Source organism: Homo sapiens, chromosome 5 (assembly GCF_000001405.40).
Source record: "Homo sapiens chromosome 5, GRCh38.p14 Primary Assembly".
Classification (NCBI taxonomy): Eukaryota; Metazoa; Chordata; class Mammalia; order Primates; family Hominidae; genus Homo; species Homo sapiens.
In genome coordinates this window covers 88228646-88245171 of record NC_000005.10, presented here as the reverse complement: position 1 = coordinate 88245171, position 16526 = coordinate 88228646, and the positions used below count along the sequence as shown (strand labels likewise).

At 35.6% G+C, this 16526-nt stretch overlaps 1 protein-coding gene across 20 annotated transcripts in view; it reads left to right on the top strand.

Annotated features, from left to right (window-relative positions):
- Positions 1–16526, top strand: part of TMEM161B (transmembrane protein 161B) — an 83276-nt gene that overhangs the window by 23674 nt on the left and 43076 nt on the right. For 14 of the 20 annotated variants that reach the window (NR_110266.2, XR_002959844.2, XM_024454373.2 and 11 more), the window contains one exon: positions 4256–4359. The exons of 5 other annotated variants lie outside the window; for them this stretch is intronic. Coding sequence is in view for 10 of the 15 variants with exons in the window: in XM_024454373.2 (XP_024310141.1) it covers positions 4256–4359 (104 nt within the window). In the remaining 5 variants the exon portion in view is untranslated. Of the gene's footprint in view, positions 1–4255; positions 4360–4415; positions 13454–16526 lie in introns of those variants that run through there. One more of the 20 variants, XM_047416810.1, reaches the window with a different exon arrangement.

Below are 16526 nucleotides of genomic sequence, written 5' to 3'. Positions count from 1 at the left end.
AATAAAACCATAGTTGAGTCAGGTTTGGTAGACATTTTAAAAACAGTTGGGTAACATGATACCTCTAGTTTTGTTCTTTTTATCCCGTTTGCAAATGACATGATTCCATATCTAGAAAACCCCACAGTCTGTGCCCAAAAGCTCCTTAATCTGACACACAACTTGAGCAAAGTTTCAGAACAAAAAATCAATGTATAAAAATCAGTAGCATTCCTATACATCAACTCCAAGTTGAGAGCCAGGTCACGAATGCAATCTGACTCACAATAGCCACAAAAAGAATAAAATTCCTAGGATTACAGCTAACTAAGGAGGTGAAAGACCTGTATAACCGGAATTACAAAATACTGCTCAAAGAAATCAGAGATAACATAAACAAATGGAAAAGAATTCCATGCTCTTGGATAGGAAGAATTAATATTGTCCAAATGGCCATACTGCCCAAAGCAATGTGCAGATTCAGTGCTATTCCTATCAAAACTGCCAATGACATTCTTCACAGAATTAGAAAAAACTATTTTAAAATTCATATGGAACCAAAAAAGCTCAAATAGCTATGGCACTCCTAAGCAAAAAAAAAAAAAAAAGCAAAGCTGGAGGCATCACATTACTCGACTTCAAATTATACCACAAGGCTATAGTAACCAAAACGTTGTGGTAGTGGTACAAAAATAGACACATAGGCCTATGGAGCAGCATAGGGAACTCAGAAATAATGCCACACACCTGCAACCATGTGATCTTTGACAAAATCAACAAAAACAAGCAATGGGGAAAGATTTCCTGCACAGTAAATCGTACTGGGATAACTGGCAAGCCATATGCAGATGATTAAAGCTAGACCCCTTCCTTACACCATGTACAAAAATCAACTTCAGATGGATTAAAAACTTAAACCTAAAATCAAAAACCAATAAAAACCCTGGAAGATAACCTGGGAAATACTATCCTGGACATAAGACCTGGGAAAGACTTCCTGACAAAGATGCCAAAAGCAATTGCAGCAATAACAAAAATTGGCAGATGGGACCTAATTATACTCTTTTAAAGAGCTTCTGCACAGTAAAGGAAACTATCAACAAACAACAGACAACCTGCAGAATGAGAAAATATTTGCAAACTATGGATCTGGCAAAGGTGTAATATTCTGAATGTATAAGGAACTTAAACAAATTTACAAGCAAAAACCAGACAACCCAATCAAAAAGTGGGCAAAGGACATGAACAGATACCTTTCAAAAAAAGTGGGCAAGGAACACAAACAGACACCTTTCAAATGGAGACATTTATGTGGCCAACAAACATATGAAAAAATGCTAAACATCACTAATCATTAGAGAAATGTAAATCAAAACCACAGTGAGATACCATCTCACACCAGTCAAGGTGGCTGTTAATAAAAAGTCAAAAATAGCAGATGCTGGTGAGGTTATGGAGATAAGGAATCACTTATGCTCTGCTGGTGGGAATGCAAATTAGTTCAGCCATTGTGCAAAGCAGTTTGGCGACTTCTCAAATAACTTAAAACAGATTACCATTTGACCCAGTAATCCCATTATTGGATATACATTCGAAGGACTATAAATCATTCTACTGTAAACACACATGCATGTGTATGTTCATTGCAGCACTATTCACAATAGCAAAGACATGGAATCAACCTAAATGCCCATCAGTGGTAGACTGGATAAAGAAAATGTGGTATTAAATACATATATACCATGGAATACTATCCAGCCATTAAAAGAATGGGATCATTTCCTTTGAAGCAACATGGATGGAGTTTGAGGCCTTTATCCTAAGCAAACTTATGCAGGAACAGAAAACCAAATACCGCATGTTTTCATTTATAAGTGAGAGCTAAACACTGAGTACACATTAACACAAAGAAGGGAACAACATACACTAGGGCCTACTTGAGGATGGAAGGTAGGAGGAGGGTGATGACTGAAAAACTACCTATCAGGTACTATGCTCATTACCTAGGTGATGAAATAATTTGTACCCCAGACCACTGTGACATGCAATTTACCTATATAACAAACCTGCACACATATCCCTGAACCTAAAATAAAAGTTAAATAAATAAGTAAAATGGTCCTGTTTAAGAACCATTTTTAATTTCTTTTTTGAGAACTGTCTGTACATATTTTTTCTTTTTTAAATTAGGCAATTGATCTTTTACTAATTAATTTATAATCTCTATAATATCCAATAAGTAAATTAGCTCTTTTTGGTGAGTTCTACTTTTCCCCAGTTTATCTTTTTACATTGTTTATATTATAGTTTCTTCATGCAGAAATTTTATTTTATTTTTTTCAACTTGTTTTGATCTTCTTTTATCATTTAGGAGACTGCTGTCTCTTTTTGAAAGTCTTTATTCTTGACATCATAAGAAAAATTGTGTCTTCTAGTAGTGATAATAACAGTGACAATAAAAACAAATAGTACTAACATAACTCTGTACCAGGCACAATTTCTAATCACAGCTTGATGAAGTAGATGGAATTTCTAACTCAATTTTATAGAAGGGGAACTAGACTTGCAGAATGTTTGATTAAATAACATGTCCAAAGTCATGTAGCTAGTGGGTGATGGAGACCAGCTTCTAACTCATGCAGTTTGGGTTCAGAATCCATTCTCTTAAACCAATAGGCATACTGTTTTTTCTTCTTAAATTTTTTAACATTTTTAAGTGCTTTTTTGGTATAGAAGGTTTGAGGTAGGAATTCAACTTTATTTTTGGAGTACTTGGCTAGAGGAAGAGCCAGCAAATGGGAGGATAAAGGATTGATCATCAATGTAGTAATAAAGCAAGGAATATGGTGTACCATGTAGGATACTGCTGAGATTTAAGTTGAGGAAAAATAATTTGTCAAGATGGAGTGAATCTTCCTTTATGGTATATGTTTCAGTGGAATATGCTGAAGTAGAAATCAGATGGATACTGTGTGGGAGATATGAGAAAATGGAAACAGTGAGAACAAGTCTTGAAAAGTGGCTGTGAATATGAGGTTGAGAGAAGGCTGTCGAACGGGGAAATTACTGTTATTCTCTAGAAAAAATGAAAGAGACTTACAGGTATTACACAATGCTGATAGGAAGGATTCAAAATAGAAAAGAGATTAAAGAAGATAGAGGAAGACTATTCAATAGCGGAAGTTCCTGAAAATCAAAGAAAGTGGGCTCTAAAGCACAGATAGAGAGATTTGCTTTCTATAGAAGATGCTCTATTATTTCTGGGGTCTAAGAAAAGACAGATGTAGATATAAGTGACTTTGTGAGCTTATTGGTGGGAAGTGAGAGGGTTCCCATTTGATTGTATCTATTTTTCCTGTAAAGTAGATGTCCTCTACCGAGTGGAGAGTTAGACGTTTGAAGGGGGTTGGAGATGTGAAGAGAGGAAAGAAGGTTTGAATTAGCCATCATGGAGAATATGGGAAGGATTGATGAGAGTAAACTAAGAGGATTGTTGGACATTAAGACCCATTCACTGGAAGTGGGTGGTAACAGCATGAGTTCAGTTTTCTTTATTAGTGACTTTCAGGCCAGTTCTGCCATCACACTTCGTATAGTTAATGGTTTGTGATCACTACCACCTAGGATTAAAACCAGGCATATTACTTTTAAAGCTTGTCAAGCTAATGTTTTTAGTGTGTAGAGTAAATTGGAGAAGGATGAAGAAATCGCTTTCCACTTCATTTTGATATCCTTAATTTATGCAGAACATTTCTTGAGAATAGATTATAGATGTGTATACTAATTCATTTTAAGTTTATATTAGACTATGTGATCTTGAATACCTAATTGCCAGAATTTAACAGTTGTCCCTCAGTGTCTACACAGGGGATTTGTCCCAGGACCACCCCATACCAAAATCTGAGGATGCTCAAGTCCCTTATATAAAATGACATAGTATTTGCATATAACCTATGCACGTCCTCCTATATACTTGAAATCGTCTCTAGATTACTTATAATACCTAATACAATGTAAATGCTATGTTAATAGTTATACTCTATTTTTAAAATTTGTAGTATATTTTTAATTGTATTATTTTTTACTGTATTTTTTTCCTGCATATTTTTGATCTGCAGTTGTGGAGCCTGCAGATATGGAGGGCTGAGAGTAATGTATTTTAATAGTAAACTCATTTTTCTTAAAATGTAATTTTCAAAATGTACAGAAAGTTTTCCAGCAATGTCCCCAAATCCAAAATCATTCATTATTAAATTTGTTTGTTTTTTTTACACAGGGTGTGATAGGTATACAGCTGGTTGTTACCATGGTGATGGCCAGTGTCATGCAGAAGATTATACCTCACTATTCTCTTGCTCGATGGCTACTCTGTAATGGCAGGTAAGGCAAGGATAGGCTGATTTCAACTGACACTTTCAATCTCTAGTTTACCAAACTGATTAAATTCCTAGTTACTGTTTCTAAAACTTTAACAAAAGGAAGTCATAAGAAAAATCTAGCTTTCTTATTTCTCTTAAAAAATTAATTTTTTTTTTTTGGAGACAAGACCTTGCTATGTTGCCCAGGCTATTCTTCAACTCCTGGCTTCAAGCAAATCCTCCCACCTTGGCTTCCCAAAGTTCTGGGATTGCCTCATTATAGCTTCCTTATTACTCTTAGTTTGAGATATTAGTAGTTTATCTGTTTAGCACAAAGGTAATAGGGTCATGGACAAGAATTCAGTCCTCCCACCCCTACCTTCTTTCTTTTTCGGTCTGTGGGCACTGAAAACACCACATATTTTTCTAATTACCTTTAAAAAATTTGATCAACAAGGGGGTGAGAAATTGTAAATCCAAGTGCTTAAGTATTTTTGCTATTGTTCGAAGAAAATACTGAAAGCATATATTCTATTGGTGGCTCAGTCCAGAATTTATTATAATACAGATATTAGGAGTTCATAGTTTTACTGCAAAGAATTTTAAACTGTTTAATTTAGCAAGGAGGGGGATAAAGTTATGTTGTGGGATTTTAATTTTGTCTACTACACCATAGGCTCACAATCCCTACTCCTTCCACAAAGGAGCTAAGTAGGCTTGCTGAAACATGTACCTCCCACCCCTCAACAAAATTAGATTAAAAAAGTATAGGTATAGATACAGTGGGGAGAAATCAAGGAAAGTCTGCACACAGAAATACATGCCAAAATCCTGTGTAGTTGTGAAAGGTAAGTGATAAATTTGGTACCATGACTATTTATTTCAATTGTTCATTTCAGTTAAATAACCAAATTTTGTTACTGCTTTCTTTTGGTTAGGCCTATTGAAGTTAGAAAAACAATGGATACCTGTCCTAGTAATGATTTCATGTTCTACAAGACAAATACGCTTTTCATTCAGGGTCATCCCATTTACAAAGCTTAAATTTCCTTCACATAATTTATTTTCTATTTTAAATTATTTGTATTCTTCTCTGTGCTTTCTACTTTTTCCATATTGATGTTTAATATTGAAAAATATTATTCAGACTGCTTTAAAATTTTTTTGGAACAATGTGATACACAGGTGTGTGTGTGTATACTGAATGTGTGAGAGAGCTGTTCACAAATGCACATTTTGAGGAACAAAATAAATAATGGCTAAAGTTTTGGTAAAGTGTAAAATAAGTGAAAATAATCTTTAACTATTTTTTTACTGTGTAGGCTTAATATGCCTGTGCAATCTTGTTTACTGATTTAGCTTAGCAAAACCATTTTCGAAGATCAGGAAAAGATGAACATGAGCTGGGCAAATTATCATTAATTTGAAGTAAAAAGGGTCTCAGTAAACTAAGTAACATACATTAAGGCAGCTTACTTTCTCTTGAGAATTGCGTGTTTCTAAACTATGTTTATGATGTAATGTCACTTCCTTATCTCCTTTGTCTGTAAAGACCTTGACAATCTTGTCCCATTTTAGTGTACATGCATTTTCATCTTGTTACATATTCTGTTTTCCATCTATTTCTATAAAATTTATACTCACTAGTGAAAACTAAAGCCTGAGAGATCAAAAAGCTGATTATCTTTATTAATATTGGAAGATTTATATTTAAAATCTTTTTCTGATCAGAATGTGTCGTAATATACATAGATAATTTGAGAGTAAGCTCAGCCTTTAAAAAGAAACACGAAATTGGTTTTCTTTGTGATCTTGACTTGCTTTTGTAAATGGATTAACTTTTGTGTTAATTAATGCTGCCTGTAATGCCATATCAGGTTCTAAGGATATCGAGAAAGTCTAGTAGTGGTTACTTTTCTGCTATAGGTAGTTTCATTTCCTCTCAATTTTGTTTTGTTTTGTTTTTAAGATTATCTACCTTTTTTAATGTTAAGTCCTGAAATTTTGAGGTCATGTTGTCATTTATCTCAATCGAATAAGATTATTGATTTTATCCTTTTGGCATAATTATTATTTTATGAGCCTTTTGTAATATATAATAATTCTGTTTTAATAGAAAAAAACCTAAAATTATAAATTGCCTATGTAAAAATATTACTGATCAGAAATGACAGTTTGCATTTTAAATCATATGATGCAGTTGGGTTGAAGAGAGAAATCCGAGGGCATTCTTTAGGGTCTATAAAGTGCTTAAAGGAATTTAAGGAGAGGATCATGAATTTTTTTTTACAACTATGAATAGTGTAGGATGGCTTGGGAGTGACTATATTGAATAGAACTATTTAAAAGAACTATTCAAGTAAATAGATGTGTAGATAACATGAGAGATTAATCATGAGTATGACAGAAGAAATTTGTTTCTGTGTATATCATGTTAATATTCATTTATTCCATTGGTATCCTAAATTGTAAATAAATGTTCTTTTTTTTTTGTTATGGCTTCTCTTTTGGTGTCAATTAATCTGTCCTGTCTCTCATTGACCTCTTTCCCTTTGAAATGGAGAGTTTGAAGTTGCAGCCGATTGTAGTGCAGTTCGCCCTCCATATTTCTGGATTCAGCCAATCATGGATCAAAAATACTCAGAAAAAAAATACAAGTTTAAGTTAAAAACATACACTATAAAAGCTATATAGCATCTGTGTTGTATTAGGTATTATGAGAAACCTAGAGATTATTTAATATATAAAGGAGAATGTGCGTAGTTTTTATGCAAATAAAAACTTTTGTATAAGGAGTTTTAGCATCTTTGGATTTTGGTATTCTGGAAGGGGTGTTGGGGGCATTGGATGGTCCCCCACCTACCCCCAGTTTCCCTCAGATACCTGGGGACAATTGTATGTCGACTTAATGAGTAAGCCATTTTCCTGAAAGAGTTAATACCTTGACAAAATAAGCAATTATACTTGAAGGAATAAGCAGCTTTTACTTACAAATTAGTTTGTTGATTTTTAATATTAAAAAATTGACTAATTTTGTAGCTCTTGTTAAATAACACATATTGCTATTAGTATTTTTTTTAGACTGTTCTTTTAAACTTTTTTTTTAAAAGAAACTGTATAGTAGTCTGGTTTAACTCTATTAATATTACCCTTATAATTGTTTAAAATTTTATACTGATACAATTTTTTAAATGTTTTGTTTCATTTAGATCTGTTCATTGAGCTAGGGAGGTGTGGTGATATGTTACAACTTCCAAAATCTCAGTGTTATAAAATTAATGGAAGTTTCTCAGTTTCTTCAGACAGGAAGCAGGGTCAAAATGGGGAATCAGAAAGGGATTGGGCAGCTCTCCAGGTAGGTCCCTCACAAAATGATGACTCAAGGGCTCAGCTATCCTCTGAGCTATCCTTCTTCCCTTAGGACTCCTCTGTTCCCCCTGCTACCTTGGAGTCCCCTGCTAGATTGCTGTGCCAGTTGGTGAGTGAAGAGAGAGTGAGCTGTGGATCTTTCAGGAGATTCTTAAGTGTCAAACTTAGAAGTAGATACATCATTTTTGCCCACATTACATAGGCTGGGGCCTTGTGACTAGTTCTGGCCAAAGTGCAGGGGAGGCTGGGAAATAATACTTATGGTATAAAAAACAAGATTGGTGAGTACCTAGTTACTTTCTGCCATAGGTGATATTATCTCCATTTTTACAAATGACAAAACAAGTTTTAAATGATTTACTCAGTTTCACACACTGATAAATGAAACAGATCCAGACCTCTTATCCTGAAAGTCTGATTCACAGTCTAGTATTTATGTGATTTATGGCTGCTCATCAGTTCCACATCTTGTCCTGGAACTGTCATACTTGAATAGAGTTTTAAATTTGGTTGGGGAGACAAATACAACTTTTCTACAATCACTGTGACTTTTGTTGGCAGTTTACGGAGTAATTTATTTAAATTATTTTCCTTTTCTATTTTGTTTTTCAAGCCATACTTCGTCTTTTAGAATATATCCTATAGGTTATAAGTAGTATGCAGTTCACTTGCTATGTTCTTATGGATTCTCCATGACAACATAATCAGCTTTTATTTTAAATTAAATTAAAAGGCACATCAGCATTTGATTACCAAAAGCATGCTAAGTATTAAGTAGAGTTTAAGAATCTAATGCCCTCACACTGTCTCTTTCTCTTTCCTTCCTAAAAGGGAACAAAAATCCTTAGAAGTTGTTTCTCTGTTGTGAACTGCTTTCCCTCATATAAGGAACACTTGTTCTAACAGTTGGTCATATCAGTTAAAGACGTTCTTATCATGTCCCATATACCACTGATTTGTAGCCAAAGTATTCACTACTTTGTATTGTAATAAAAGTTCCTTTTTGTTTTGAAGTTTGCTTGGCCCCTCTTTTCTTGGAGAGGTAAGTGTTAGGTTATATTCTTTGTACATTTGAATAGTGGGTTTTGCATGAGGAGTAGGATACTGCTTTTTCTCTGTGATAGCTTCCTTGCTGAACCTGCTTTCTGTTTTTTCTAATTGCTCAGTTCAAACCTCATGCGTTTTTCTCTACCCCTTTATCTTCTGAAGTCTAGTTTGGTCTGCTGCTTCCCTTCATAAGTCCCTCACTGAAAATATATTATGGTCAGATTTATTCTGATTTTTGTCTCATCCCATATCGGTTAAAGAGGGTGTTATAACACCTTCATATCCAATTGCTCTAATTCTTTTTGCCTGTTCTTTATTGCATGTTGCCTGATCCAGTAATCTGCAAGTTCCCTTTGATGAGAGAAACCTACCATTCAGATGCACAGTAGGTGGGACCTATGACCTAAGGGAAAAATTTAAACCTTCAGCTACTACCCTTAACGGAATGCCTGAGTCCTTGCTCTCCTCGCCTTAGCTTTTTTAACTTCCAGTTCCAGAATGTTCATGATATTCTATCAAAATTTCTAACAAGTGTATATAATGTGTACAACAAATAGCATTTTAGCTACTTGCGCTGAAAGATTGTCTAGGTTTTAAGTGGTATTTGTTTTTGCTTAAGCCTCCCCTCCACTGGTCAAAATTATAGATTTAGAATGGAGACTAAAACTGTCATTAGTGACTGTTTTAGTAGGTTAGGGCTGCTATTACAAAGTACCATAGACTGGATGGCTTCTCAACAGCAGAAATGTATTTCTCAGTTCTGGGGGCTGGAAGTCTGAGGTCAGCATGCTAGTATGGTCAGGTTCTGGTAAGGACCCTCTCTCAGGTTGCAGACTGCTTACTTCTTGTATCACCACCTGGTGGAAAGAGAACAAGCTAGTTCTCTGACCTCCTTTTAAAAGGGCAATAATCCTATTAATGAGGGCTCCACTCTCACGAACTAGAAACTCCTGAAAGTTCCCACCTCCAGATACCATCACACTGGGGATTAGATTTCAACACAAGAATTTGAGGGGGGTGGGGACCATAAACATTCAGTCTATAGCAGTGACCTATGTTGTATATCATGAAATAGAGTTTTATATGATTATGTATTAAAGCTTATTTAGCTTGTGCTATTAAAACTGTGCTTTTCTGTGTTTGCTCACATTTAGGTTTCTATTTTAAATTTCTAAAAGTTTTATTTCTTAAAATTTCTAAAGCACTATAAATGCTACTTAAATTTTAAAAATAAAGTCTAGGTCAGGACATTCTATATTTTCTGCTACATATTTTTTCAGTGTTGAACTGTTTTAGTAAGAGTTGTAGTTGTCTGATAATATTTTATATTAGAGGTTTATATAAGAATGATCATTGAGAAATTAATTTAGTAGAGTACAGTATCAGATTGGCTTTATTATCAGAGTCACTGCAGATAATCTGAGCATAAGTGAAAAAAGCCACCAAGTAGCCAAAGTAAAAGCTATGTACTGAAAGTTGTATATTTAACTTAAATATGAAAGGCTTATTTATTTATCTTAGAGACAGGATCTTGCTATGTTGCCCAGGCTGGTTTCAAACTCCTAGGCTCAAGCAATCCTCCTGCCTTAGCCTCCCAACGTGTTGGGATTACAGGTGTGAGCCACCACACCCAACTGAGTTTTTAAGTGAGATTCTGTTAATACTTACTCTCAATTTTCTAAGAAATATATTTTTTCCCATTTCAAAAAGAGTACATTCTACATGCTACATTCTAATGACTTTTATATCTGTATCTGTCTTCCAAGCCCATATTAGAAAGGCAAGCATAGTGCAGCAGTTGCAAGCAGGCCGTCATTTTATTGAGATAGACATACCACTTAATACCAAAGGAAAAGACTGGAAATTGAGACCAGAATACAAAATGTAGTAGCTGGGAACCATGCTATGTGGAATCAAACTGTATATGCAACACTGACTGCTAAAGAAAATTGTGAAACTGTACTTGTAGGTTTTACTTGGAATCTATGATCACAGACCTTAGATGGCTGCTTTATACTGCCTGGCAGAGTTTGTATGCTGTACTTCTCAGACAACTTTTTCAACCTAAATCCTTTCTCTCCAAAACTTAAGCATCTGTACCTCAGCCTCACCCTAAGCTCTTGAAACAAGCGCCCATCACTCTCATCTGTATACTACCAAACCACAACTCTGGTTAAATGTGCAGCCCCTCTTCTTTATCTTTAAATTTGTAAAATGTATTTTATCACCTGCTCCATTTCAGTTGGATTATTCCTGTTACCACACACACTTTTTTTTTAAACTTCTCCCATTTAAAGTAACAACAACGAATAAAGAAGTCACAGCCCTACCTCTCTCCCCCTTAAAAAACAAAGCCCCTCCATATCCATTTCTTAGTTTTTGGCCATTCCTCTATTTCCCTTTGTAGCCAACTTTGTTGAAATGTTGTCTACATAAACTTTACTTTTTCACTTTCTCATTAACTAGTGTTATACTATCTTTTAGTTCCTTTTTAGTTGGTTTTATTAATCCCTATGGATTTAGGTGCCACAATTATGTAATCACCTCAAATTATCTCTGAACTGCAGATTCTAATATCTAGTTGCCCTGTCACTTTTACTTGATGTCTCATGGGTACTTAAAACTCAGCATTTTTAAGTTCTTGATTTCTTCCTGATCTCTTCCATATCAGAAAAGGTACCATCATCTTCAAATCAGAAATGTAGATATTATCCTTTATTGCTTACTTTTGTTCACTCTCTACCTTTAGTCCATCAGCAAGACCTGTTGATTCACTGCCCTTGTCTCCCTCTAATTCACAGAACAACCAAAGGGATCTTAAAATGTGAATCAAATTATTTATCTACATTGCTTTGAGACCATTATTTAGCATAAAATCTGAAGTCCATACTATGACCTATTAGCCTTTGCATGATCTGTTCCCTTCTTACCTCTTCAGTCCCCTCTTATGTTTCTCCTTGAAGCTCTTGCCTCATTGCCTTTTAGTTACTGTAATGTCCTATGTTCTTTCATGCCTCTGTGCTTTTGGATTTGGTGTTCTCTGCCTGAAATGCTCTTCTTCTGTTTTCTCATTCTTTAGGTTGCTGGTTAAATGTCTCAGAGAAGTTTTTCCTCACCTAATATCTAAGGCTGTCTCTCACATTTTCACCACTTGTTTCATTCTTTCATGTGGTATGACAATTTATTTTTCACTATTTAATTGGTTAAATTTTACCCCAACTGGAATATAACCATCAAAAAGGCAAAGGCTTTGGCTTTAATTGGTTGTGATTATATCTCCTCTGCCTAGCAGAGTATCTGAATACAGAAGGTTCTCCCTAAGTGACTGATAAATGAATGAATGGGTAGGTGAATAACAGACTAGAAGTGACCCTAAAAGTATCGAGCATCCTTAGATTCCAACTTTGAACAATAATTCTCACTAATAAAGATAACCCTGAGTTATCCCATAGGAAATGTAATAAATCTAAGCCATTTTAGAGAAATGAGTTTACAAAATAAGATTTAACAAATATGAGTATATTTAAAAAGAAAATGTGTCTTAAGGCCAGGCGCGGTGGCTCACGCCTGTAATCGCAGCACTTTGGGAAGCCAAGGCGGGCAGATCATGAGGTCAGGAGGTGGAGACCATCCTGGCTAACACGGTGAAACCCCATTTCTACTAAAAAATACAAAAAATTAGCCGGACATGGTGGCGGGCGCTAGTAGTCCTAGGTACTCGGGAGGCTGAGGCAGGAGAATGGCATGAACCCGGGAGGCAGAGCTTGCAGTCAGCCAAGATCGTGCTACCGCACTCCAGCCTGGGTGACAGAGTGAGACTCTGTCTCAGAAAAAAAAAATAAGAAAATGTGTCTTAAAATATTTCATTACTATAGGGCTCTAAATAAAATCTAATTTTTCCTATACTGAGAGTTCTTTCACTAATTATTATTTCTCAAAGCTGAACAACTAATTTTAGTCTTTATACATGAGTTATTCTGGATCATTTTCTTTTATATGAGTTATTTCTTATAAGTGTTCTTCTAAATGTTATGCACTCATCTTCATTATTTGTGGATTTTGTTTTGTGATTTGCCTACTTGCTAAAATTTATTTGTAATTCCAAAATCAGTGCTTTTATGGTCATTCATGGACATAGACAGGGACGAAAAATTTGAGTGGTCCATACATGCATGTTCCTGGTTGAGGTCTAACAAGGCAACAGTCTGCCTTATTGTTTCGGCTGTCATACTGTAAACAAATCTCCTTTTTATGATCTGTTTAGGGCCACATTTTTTTACAATTTTGCTTTTCGTTGGTGATCTTGCTGTTTAAAATGGCCCCCAAGCATAGTGCTGAAGGTAGTGTCTAGTATTCGTAAGCACAAGAAGGCTGCTTTATGGAAAAAAATTGCTGGAATGACACACAGAACTAAAAAAAAATGCTATACTTAATGATTACTGGTATTAGGTAAGCTTTGCTCAGGGATGAGTTATGCTTTTGGCTGTGAATTCAATGTTAGTGAATCAATGATATATATTAAATAAGATATCTTTAAACAGAAACACACATAAAAGAAGCTTGGGTATTGATCAGTTTATGAAAATGTTATGACCAGAGGCTCGCAGGAACCTAACCCTGTATTTCCCCTAGGAGCAATGGTTCAGTGTTTGTGGCAACTTTATAAAACCTAACTACCGCGAATAACGAGAATCAATTCTGTAAGTTAAAATTCTGGACTTCAGTATAAATTCAGGAAGTGCCTCCTTACCTGTTTATTGTAATTTAGGGACTTTTAGGTTGGGATATATATATTTTTTATCGTAAATTCATTAGGCAAAGAACTGAATTCCGTTTGGTTCAGTTACTGTTTTTGAGCACTTGCTCTATGCCAGTAACTGTACTAACTTTGAAGTATACAAAAAGCAAGAAAGCCATAAAATCTTTTCTCCAAGAATCTTTCACTTAGGGTAACATTCCATTTTAATCCAACTTATCTGAAACCAACTGAGTATACTGCACTTGTATTCTGACAGTAATTACCTGGAGTTAGTACAGACCCCACAGGTTAAAGGCGAAGTTCTCCGTAAGATTGTCACCACTTCAGATACCAGTTTCAAGTTTTCAGAGTACCCAGGCCACCTGCACTTCTCACTTATTAATAGGCTACAAATTTGAGGATTCCCATGATCCCCTCAGATCCAGTAATCTGCTAGAATGATTCATAGTACTTAGGAAACTGCTTTATCTATTATTACAGTATTATTTAAAGAAAGCGCATAGGGTAAGTTCTGGGAAAGAGCAGAGTTTCCATGCCCTTTCACTCTGAAGTCAGGATTTCACCCTCTGGGCACATCAATGTGTTAACCAACAGGAATTTTCTCTGAGCTTTGAAGTCCAGAGTTTTTTTGAGTTTCATTATATAGGGACAATTTTAAGTCATTGATACGAAATTGATTTCAATGATCCAACTTAATTTCCAGGCCCCTCCCATCACTGGAGGTCAAGTTCCTGAAAGTCCTGACCCTCTAATCATGTGCTTGGTGTTTCTGATAATCAGCTCCATCCTGCAGCTATCTGGGGCCCACCTTGACCTACCTCATTAGCATAACAAAGATACTTCTACACTCTTGTTTTTATAAGGACTTTTAAAACTCTGTGCCAAGAACTGGGGACAAAGAGCAGATATATTTTTTATTATACCACAAGAAGACTGCTTGTAAACAATAGGAGATAAGAGTTTGCCAAGTAGGGGCATAGGTGTTCACAAGGAGAGAAGAATATATGCAAAAAGCACCAAGGGATGAAAGAATTTGTGAGGAAGAAAATGTCACTTAGTCAAGCCAGAAAGTGTCACCTTCAAATGGGAATGGTTGAAGGTGAATCTGGAGAAGTAGGCATTGGTCAGATCATGAAAGGCTGTAGAAGCAAGAGATAATGCATGACCCCCATACACATGTGGGCCTTGAAATATGTGTTTTAATGGGAATTTTCAAGTATACAAGGAGTAGATAGAATTATGAATTCCTGTGTACTCATCACAATTAATAGCTGATGGCCAAACTTGTTTCATCTGTACTTCCCCCAGCGTACATTTCAGTATATATATCAAAAATAATGAGATTTTTAAAAATTACCACAATCTCATTATCATACCTAAAATTTTTTAATGTAATCAAATATTCAGTGGGTACTCAGATTGCCAGTTCTACAGTTGTTGCAGTTTTTTTGTTTGTTTGTTTTGTTTTGTTTTTGAGATAGGGTCTTACTTTGTTGCCCAGAGTGGAATGCAGGGGCACAATGATGGCTCATTACAGCCTTGACTTCTCAGGCTCAAGCAGTCCTCCCACCTCACCCTCTCCCCCGACCACAGGTGCATGCCACCAGACCTGGCTAGTTTTTTAATTTTTTGTAGAGATACGGTCTCACTGTGTTGCCCAGGTTGGTCTCAAACTCCTGGCTTCAGACAATCCTGCAGCCTTCTAAAGTTCTGGGATTACTGGTATGAGCCGCCATACCTGGCCTGCCGTGTTTTTAAAACAGCAAATCAAAGAGACTGTGCACCATGGCTAATGCTTATAATCCCAGCATTTTGGAAAGCTGAGGAGGGAGGATCCTTTGAAGCCAGGAGTTCGAGACTACCCTGGACAACCAAGTGAGCCCCTGTCTCTATTTTGAGGACGGGGGGAACAGCAATTGGGAAATTTCAAATTTAAAAAATCTAGATTTTTGTAATTGAAGAATTGGGGGGTCTAGCATACTAGATATGCATTTTTTCCTTTGTAATAATAGGGCCTTTGTCAAAGTTTTTGCCTAGCTGCCTTATTCATTGCTTTTCCCTGTGAGGAGCCTTGGAAATGATTTAAACAGGCATGGGTCTTGATAAGATTTGTATTACGGAAAAATAAGTAAAGGTGGTCCACCTTTCTGTAAGATAAAAAAAAAAAAAACCAATAACTAGAGGTAAGCTCAGATGGATTTGATGAGTAATGTGTCCACAGGAAGGCAGGGAGGATACCAGTGAGAGAATTTTGCAGTAGTCAGATGTTCAGAGGAAGATACACTGAACTAAGGTCTGAACTAAGGTCTCTGCAGTAGGGCAGAGTTTAGAATTTTAAGAGTTGAGAAACAGAATTAATAATAGCATGTGGAGAGGGCACATTGAAAATAAGATATGAATATCAAATTTAAGTGATTTGTAGATAGTTGGGATGACTAGGCAAGCCATGAAATTCAGGATGAGCCACTTGGTGCTTGGGAGGGAATAATTGATTAATTTGGATCGTGAGTATTTCTTCACTTCAGATTAAAGTATTTTGACTGTGGTAGAGAGGGATACAACCAGTTGTTGGATCCTTACCTGAGGAAGGTTAGATATAGCTAAAAGTGAAGTGTTTTTTAATACAATGATTTTCTGTAATTATTCTACACACAAAGTTTGAGAATTCTCGAACTAAATTAAAAAAGGGAAAGAAAGGAAAGACTACCTGTAAATGTGAGAATTCATTCAAACACCTCTCTTTTTAAGATAACTCTCAATTCCTTCAAATGAGGGATTAGTAGAGAATTAATGTGCTCCTGCCCACTTGGCTACAGACTTCACTTTATTTACTTTTAATAATAAGCCTGTATAATCTTAATATGTATTAATACATTGTCATTTGTAAGAAATATACATACAAATGGCATTGTAGGACCTGGCATCTAGTAAGTGGTTGGTTAAGTGTCTGCTGGATGTTTATCTAAACCCTTTTAAAGTTTAAGAGTTAGTATTTGTTTCAGATTACAGTTTTC